The 9,365-nt window shown below is 34.1% G+C and overlaps 1 long non-coding RNA gene across 1 annotated transcript; it reads left to right on the top strand.

Annotated features, from left to right (window-relative positions):
• Positions 1-215: 215 nt before the first annotated feature.
• Positions 216-9,032, top strand: LOC101929446 (uncharacterized). Its single transcript, XR_242531.6, has 3 exons — positions 216-564; positions 5,878-6,017; positions 8,637-9,032. It is a non-coding gene; the product is annotated as an uncharacterized LOC101929446 (long non-coding RNA).
• The last annotated feature ends 333 nt before the right edge of the window (positions 9,033-9,365 follow it).

Genomic DNA, 9,365 nt, shown 5'->3' with positions numbered 1-9,365 from the left:
GCCATAGTGACTCCATCTTGGTTGTTACCCATTAGTGCCTAAGCGAAATCCATGGGGTGGGGGGTGAGTCTAAAACCACAATAATACTAATGGCATCATAATGAGTTCAAGGTCATTTTAGAATGTCCTCAGTCTTTGTCTGCACCTGCACTTGCAGCTGGAAAGTCCCTTTATGAGCAAGAATCTTGCTCATAAAGCACATTTCCTCCTGCTAGCTACATAACAAAGGCAGTGGTGGTGTGGTCCCACAGGCAATGTTCCTCTTCTGAGACCCCTCCTATCTATCTGCCTAACCAGCCTCTACCTGCCTCCTCTCTCATTCCAGTGGTGACCCTAATTGCCATTAGAGGGAGAGGGTAGATGACCGCTCAGGCTTCTTCAAGCTGTGAGAGGGCATTGTTACTGTGGCAGTAAGGGATCCTCCAGAGGATGGTCTAATGGGCCTGAGAGGAAGGGTTCTTTCACACAGGGTTCCATCTGCATCATGATCTGGAGTTTGATGGCCTCTATGCAAGAAGAAACAAATTTGGCTAAAAGATGTAACACACATGGTCCAAAAACCAGGTAAAGTGTAATTATTAATAGGGGGCTGGCTAGGGGAAGGAGCCATGAACCCCAACTCCACATTTTTTTTTTTTACCAAAAGTTCCATGACTCAGAAAGCTGTAGTCATCTCCTAGAGGCTCAATCGGCTAGTTTTTGGGCAATATCCCTCAATATTCCTGACTGATTGACATAAAACTGCATTTTTCCTCTAGAAAAAGACATACGCTGCCCTTTTCAGCTGTTAGAAGATCTAGATTTCTTCTCTTTTGTAAAGTGACCACTGCCAAGGAGTCTATTTAATTTTGTATGGTAATGATACTATGGGAAAAGTCATCCAAGCTCTCCACAAGATAAACTCTGCTGTAAAATTAAACTGATTCCCAGTATGCATAGCCCCAGTATACACAGACCATGGTTAACCACATGGGACCCAAAAATATCTGTTATTTTGTTTTATAGAATGGGAAACTCAGGGGGTGGATACCTATGCTATTAAAACTGTTTGTTATAGAAACAAATTAAAACATTTACTTAATTATTACAAAAGAAGTGAGTTCAGTTGCTTGGAAGGAAGCAATGAAACTGTACAATATAAAATGGTTACTATAGTCTACAGTAACTATGTAATAAAGTTACCAAAGGAAGCCTGTAAGTAATTACTTATCTCTTGGCTGTTTAAAAAACAGGTATTTTAGGTCTTCCACAGGTTTGCTATTGTAGTAGCTGATGGGAGCCTCAGGTTGCAGGTCTCGGGCCTCAGGTATTACAGGCTTGACCCTGGAAAGATATAACTAACCATCTTATTTCCTGACCTGATTTAAGGCTGTTTGCTAGTTCCTGGCCTGATTTCAGGCTGTTGGCTAGGCGAGCCTCGTGTTCTAAACCTCCAGATCAGCATCAGTCTCCACCAGAGCAAGGCAGAGGGTTTGTCCAGGAACCATGGAACCCATATGAACTAGAGAATTCCTGTCTAGCAGAGGATTTGGACTTTTATGTATGATTAATAAGGCATGAATTAAACAAGAGGCTTTCCTATTTACAGCTGAGGGGGAAAATATCGAGTAAAACACTTTCCTAAGATGTCCTTCATGATCATGCTAAGGAACGAGGGGAGGCCGGATTGAATAGGAGAACAGAAATGGCTACTCCAGTATCCAGAAGGATAGTTCACCTGCTTTCAACCTCCAGATTCTACTAATAATTGCTGTTTTACTATAAACTGCATGAAACAGTTTATCTTTACTATAAACAAAATAGAAATACAAAATAATATGTCTACCCAAACAGTTTTGAGTTGTTTCCATTGCAATGGTGGCAATAAATTGTCCTATATGTAATAGTGTATTTGAGGAGTACACATAAGCTGTCTTGGTTAAAAAATTAAATTAAGTGCTCTATTCCCTGCCAGCTGGCATCTGTTCCTAAGAAAACATGTTTTAATGTTCTATTGTCTATACACAATCATTTTTAATGCACCCTGAAGTCCACTTTTATAACAAGCTTCATTCCATAGCTTGTTCCATTGGAACTATAAGCAGTGGAAGAAATAAAAGAGAATTCGTTATTTGGAAACAGAATGAAGAAAACAAAATCTATTTTGCTTGTAAATTGTGCTCCGTTTGGCTGAGGTAGATATTTATGAATGCTATATTGGGTTTAGGTGTGATGTCTAGGAACAGAGCAGTGTAGAAACATATATTAAAAGAGAAATGTGTTTTCCCTTTTTAGTTATGCTCCAGTTATTCTAAATTTAATCTTTTGAACACTTGCCCTGACCTTAGGTATGACACCAACTGTTTTAAGACACTTAAAAATATGTAAGTACACCCATCTGTGTGTTATATGTATGATATTCTGAAACAAGTACAAATATCCAAGATTTCATGACAGTAAACTGCTATTACACTCTATGTGGTAAACAGATATTAATATAGCTTCCTTTATTTCTCATTCATAAGTATTGCAAGTGTTAAATGTTGATAAGATCATTATATACATCCTCCATCAGGATTTATTTTCTTTAGTGATTTGCTAATGTGTTTTAAACATGAATGAAGCTGATTTTTAAAATTATTTCACGGCGAGATGATATCAACATCTAATTGACCTTGATGCTGTAAAGTTTTGATTACAGATTCTTTTGAAAATGTCCTTATTTCCTTATTTCCTTCCTTCCTTCCTTCCTTCCCCTCTCTCTCTCAATCTCTCTCGTGCCCTTCCTTCCTTCCTTCCTCTCTCTCTCTCTCACACACACAGACACACACACACACACACACACACACACACACACACACACCAGATTTCTAAGCAAGCATAACTTTTAGGACACGGTCAAATAAAACTATAGTTTGGATTTCAACTGCTGCCCCTTTAACAATTATTTAGTAGACTTCTTTCCCTGACCCTAGATGAAAGTTCTTGTAGTTTCAGTGATTTTTTTTTTTTTTGTTCACAGTTAGGTTGTTTAAAAGCCCTATAATATTTTAAGTCTTAAAATACTGTCTCAGATAGAAAATTAAAAGTGTTCAGACCAATATAATATACATTTTCTTTTTAAAATTCAAAGATACAGTTTTTTCCCATCTGTTTTCAGAGATCTGTAGTCAGGAAGAAAGACATCTTACAGCATGCTAGAGATCGCTATTGACTTTTTCTTTGACACCATATCTCTTTCTCCACACCTATTAAGAATCAGAATGTGATAAGAATTTAATCTCATCAAAATCATTCTAATTTTGCTAGCACTATTGGAACTCGGCTTTACCATCGTTAGGCTTGACATGCAACTAAACTAACTCATTCTTTTAATAAGTATTTTGCAATTTCTTCTGTTTCTTTTTTTGTTTGTTTGTTTTTGAGAATTAACCCCCATTATTAGAAATTTTTACTGGTAATGTATTTGATGATATTGGTGAATTGCTCCTTCTGCTGTTTCCTGACTTCCTTTGCTTAATGCAGGAGGCCAGAGATACTATTACTTCCCTCTTTTGAGCCTGTTTCCTTCCTATAGGTGGGCCTATACTACAGGACCAAAGAGAGCAATTACAAGTGAGCTAGCTATCCTCACTCTTGACCACATATAATTCACAATATATGTGAATATGTGAATATATTCATAATATAGCTTTGTCCCCCAAATAGTCTTCAGTAGATCTGTGTACATCTGGCTCACCTATATTATAATTTTTGAATTTTTTAGTTTGAAGACACAAATCCACTCTTCCCCACTCTGCACCCCCCACCCCCAACACCTCCATTGGTTCTAAGTTTCAAACTCCAGGCTGAGATTTAAAAAAAGGTAACTCTCCCTGCTCTCTTGATACTTACTTGCTATTTATTCTCTAAGGTATTCACACTCTTGACTTTATATTCCCTCCAGGGTGTTAACTTTGGAATCAACTAGCTTCTTTTCAGTAACCTATTTTGAAACATCTTCATGATGAACCTGTGAAATATAATGCCTATTATCTTTTTCCATAAGCTAGAACTGAGATAAGAAGAGTTCACTCTTAATCTTGAGATAAGGTAAAGGATAGTAATAGTTTTACATATTATGATGCATTAATGTAAAAATCATTTTCAGAGTTTTTATGTTACTTAGCCTAGCAAACCTATATCAAGCTTAGTTGTCTGTTAAAGCATTTAGCAAAATAGAAAATGTGTGCTCCAAATAATTGCCAGAGTGTAATCCAAAAATCACATCTGATTAGTATTTGCAAAATAGTTGAAAAGATTCATATTAATAGACTTTGACCTAGAGAATATGCAGTCTAACATTTCCTCTACATCAGTTTTTCTTGAATTCCCTACAACGTTTCCTCAGGCTCTAATCTGCACAGATCTACCAGTAAAAAAAAAAAAATCTATCAATATTTACTTTGTATAGATTTTATTTTTATAATAATCTAATATATATAATATTTTAAATCTCTTAGAATTATTAAAAATAAAATTAGGCTTTAGCACATTCTATCAACTTACTGTGAGAAACATTGTAAGAATTGTTTATAGGAAACGGTTATTAGCTTCATAACTTTGTTGCTACTACAGTTTATTTCATAGTAGTTTTTTATGAGGAATACAATCACTGAACTATTTCTTTTGAGTTTTAAAAGGTAATTGTTATACTTATATTGAGTAATCTGTATTGTTTGTTTTGAATCATGAACATCATTGATAATGTAACTTCTTAGACTTCCTTGTTTGGATTGTCTTTTGAAATGTTCAGAATCTAATTTTGAGAATTGGAGGTCACACATAGCATGTAGACAAGATATCAAAACAATTGTTTTCCACCTTTATATTACTTAATATTATTTTCAAAAGTATATTTCAATTTTATATTACTTTCTACCACTGTGTTACATATATTTCATATTTTTCTATAAAAACTTTTTGGAATATGATAGAATATATATTTTTAAAAGCATTATGCTTATTATTCACAATCAAAGTGTAAGATGAGAAATTACTAAGCCTATTTTATTTAAGATAAATTCATGAAACCCTAACCATTTAAAGCCATGTTTTCCCCTGAGATATAGCCAACAGATAAATATATATATATATATATGTGTATGTCTGTGTATATGTATATGTGTGTGTATATATGTGTGTATATATACACACACATATACATATATATGTATATATGTATATGTGTGTATATATGTATATATATACATATATACACACACATATACATATACACACATATATATGTATATACACAGACACACACATACACACATACACACACACAGTCTATGTAAGTTCATTTGGGTCATTTGAGACTGTTACCATTACCTCTAGTAATTTGATAAAGGAATGGGAGCTAAATAACCACAAAACACTCTATAGATTTCATGGAGTTCAGGAAACTTTAAGTTGTAAGACACCAAAATCATGCACAATAGGAGACTTCCATTTGGAAAATTATAGCAGATCTTTGGCTACCAAACCATATTTGAATCCCCTTCTTATGCTTAGGATATTTCATGAAGAATATACAGCAGATAATTCATTCTGTTAAGGAGATTAGCAGATATATCCACTTCCTAAGGTAGCTGTGTAAGAGCATCATCCAGTGTTCAGATCGTGCAGACTCCTGAAGTGCTGATATCCTATGCTAAACGAGACCTCTGCAGGTAATTTGGACATTGTTTCTGTCTTCATTGCCCTACACCGGATCATCTGCTCTCTTTTGTATATTCTGTGAGTTGCCCAATAGTTTTTAAAAATTAAAATAATTGAAGTATATAGTGTTGCTCATAAATAAGAATTCTGATTGATATAGCTGGTACATAACTATCCTGAGCCTCTCTTTTATAGACTTGAGAATACGACACGGAGACAGAAGAAAAACAGAATCAGAAGCAAAGCTGGATAATGAATGGAAATAGAAGTGGACAGAAGTGGAGAAAGATGAGATAGATCACCAGAGAAAAGAGCAGAGGATACAGACTTCTGAGGTATAACCAAGACAACCAGATCACATGAGCTTCTGTAACTTTCCACAACTGCTTTTGTTGTATCTTCTTATCCAAGGATTCATCTACTGTTTCATTACTTTATTGGAACTTTGTGTTCCCCCCAAATGAATGTGTTTGCTTCCTCAGATTCAAGCATATCGCCTTACGATGTTCCCCCTTACCAGAGTATAAGCTGTTACTAAGTTTTATAAGAGCAGAGACCAAGGCTGTATCTGTTTTATTCTGCACCATGTATTCAGTTTGGCACAGAACCTGGCTCATAGTTGGCTGAAATACATGACAATGAATGAAGGAGTGAAATTAAAATAACAGACATAGTAAATTACATTTACACAAAGAAATATTTTGATAAATTATCAGTCCAATCTCATTTTGACTCCATGCAGACACACACACACACACACACACACACACACACACACACCTATTTTTCCCTTTATTTTAAAAAATTCTAAATGAGAGAAGTGATTCTGATAGTCGACTAGGGAACAAAAGACACATTTACTTATTCAGATTCGTGAACTTCTCTGAGTAAGAAGATGATATTTTTCCTTTTTCTCTCTAAAAATAAATGTCTTTCTAAAAAATACAAACATTATCATGATAACCAATACCACCTGGTATTATTTATTATTCCAGTTTTCTGTCTCCCGCTGCATTAGATCTCTGTTCTGATGCAATATTTTTGAATATCTTCCTATAGAGCTTTCCGTATGCTACCTTCAATAAACATCTTCTTTCCGCAGGAGGTTTTCTTTGGTTAATAACACTCTGTAAGTACTTAATGTGACATTATGATTTGTTGCAAGGGTAGGCTGAACAGTGCTTGACCTCATATAGTTCTATAGATCACTATTGATTTAAAGTGGCAGACCAAATTCTCCACATTAGCCTGCACCACATTTTTAATACATCAATAAAACAGAATTACTCCAAAGGAAACAATTTTGTTAGTGCTCTAAAGCAGTAAACAGAATACAAATCTCAGGGTACTTTCAAAAGTTATTGATAAATATATCTAAGAAACAAATTGTGTATCAGAGAAAATCACTGTCTCACACAATATTTTGTAGGGAAAACATAAAGCATTGACTCTCCTATCAGGGAACTATTTTAAAAAGTTGAATATGTCCAAAATTACTAGAAATAACAGTTTGTTTTTAGTTAAAAATATACTTATTTTTAGTCCCCCTTTAAACAAAAGTGGATGCCCTTTGCGGCGTATTGCAGTTTATTTAAACCCAATTAAACCAAAAACATCTCTGCATTACTTCAAATGAGGAAATTACCAAGATAGGTGCCCAACACATTGCTGGATTTTCTAAATCATGGTTCACTTTTAAATTAAATTCTCAGAATAAGAGTTCAAAATGGCAATTGCGAACATTTCCTTTCCAAATTTCTAATAATATTCCTTCTTCTGCCTAATACACTTCTTTCAATCTTAATCCTTGTAATCCATCTATGCAACAAATTTAAGTGAATAACACATTTTAACTACAGAATAAAAATTACAGATTCTAACTAAATATTGTTTAGTTAAATCTCCAATCTCATTTGTAGTTTATATTTGCAAATACTAAAATATTAAGTAGGACTTGATCATCATTTCCTTTTGTTCTCTTTTTTTGGGGACCCCATAACTTCTACAACTTATGGAATTGATTCTATTCTCTTTTTAGCTTTTTAAAACTGATACATGAGTTGCACCTGTTATGCTGTACATGTGTGATTTTGATACAAGCAAATAATGTCTAATGATCAAATCGATCAAATCAAAATAATTGTGATATTCATCACCTTAAAAAAGTATTATTTGTGTTGGGAAAAGTCCAAATCTTCTCTTCTGTCTATTTTGAAATACACAATATGTTATTATTAACTATAGTAGTTCTACTGTACTATTGAACATTGGAACTCATTACTTCTACTAATTGTATTTTTGTACTTATTAAACAATCCCATTTTATCCCCACCTCTCCCTACCTTTCCCAGCCTCTGACAACCAACATTTTATTGTCTGCTTTCATGATAATCAACTTTTTTAGCTTCCACATATGAGTGAGAATATGTAATGTATGTCTTTTTGTGCCTGGCTTATTTCACTTAACACAATGTGCTCCAGTTCCACCCATCTTGCTGCAAATGAAAAAACTTCACTTTTTATGGCTGAATATTATTCCAGTGTATGCGTATATACCCATTTTCTTTATCCATTTATAATGTGATGAACACTTAAGTTAATTCTCTGTCTTGGCTATTGTGAATCGTGTTACGATAAACATGGGAGTGTGGACACCTTTTCAATATACTAATTTTCTTTTAATTTTTTGAATATATACCCAGCAGTGGAATTGCTGGGTCACACAGTAGTTCTATTTTTAGTTTTTTGAGGGACCTCTATTGTTCTCCACAGTGGCTTTACTAATTTACATGAATTATATTATTTGTTGTTATTGTTGTTGCCTTGTGTTTTCAGGTTTGGTAATGTGTTCTTCTACGCATTTTTTCTTGAATTTTATTAGTGCCACTTCATTCGAGGTCAATATTTACCTTCACAATTTTCATTTGTAATAATATTATTTTATTATTTCCCAGAGGTGCAAGAATCATTGCTGTTGGAAGCGAAGTTCCTCTTTGTTGAAGTTAATACCTTGAAAATGACTATCTCAAGAACTTAGCTGGCATCCCTCCAGATGTTCTATCAGATGTACCTAACCATGCTGCTCTCACAAAAGTCATGATGTGACAAAGTGATGAGGCAACGGTTTACTCAGTTTCTCTAAAAGGAATAACCCTTCTCCATCCGTACTGCATCCAATAATTCTATAAACCTGAATTAATTTTCTATTGGTCAATCAATCTTTCCATTGAGATGGATAAATGTGTCAGAGTTTACTACAACTACCTGTTTTCATATCCGAATTTACCATGACTATAAGCTCCTCAAGTCTAGGAGTCTTTTATTTCCTTTAATTTGCAGTACCAAGCAAACGTTCCACAGAGGTCATCTGAAATAAAGGCTTAGTGCATAATTAATTTCTAAAGCACAAGTGTGACATTTATCATAATACTCTAGATATACTCGGAGTTATCTATTCAAAAGCATGTTTTCTATGAGAAGTATGCTAAGAAAGAAATAAGCATATGAGGGGTTTAGTAATATGTAAGGTAAAATAATGAAGGCCAAATGATTGAGAAAATACAAATTTTAATAACTTAGTACTTTATAATAATAAATTTTATCAATTAGTATACACTTCATTGTTCTCTGTTCCTAGATTCTAATAACAGGCATACCTGGGGATATTGCAGGTTCAGTTTCAA

Source organism: Homo sapiens, chromosome 9, assembly GCF_000001405.40.
Source record: "Homo sapiens chromosome 9, GRCh38.p14 Primary Assembly".
NCBI lineage: Eukaryota > Metazoa > Chordata > Mammalia > Primates > Hominidae > Homo > Homo sapiens.
The sequence above is the reverse complement of the archived record's forward strand: the minus strand, read 5'-3'. Positions and strand labels throughout refer to the sequence as shown.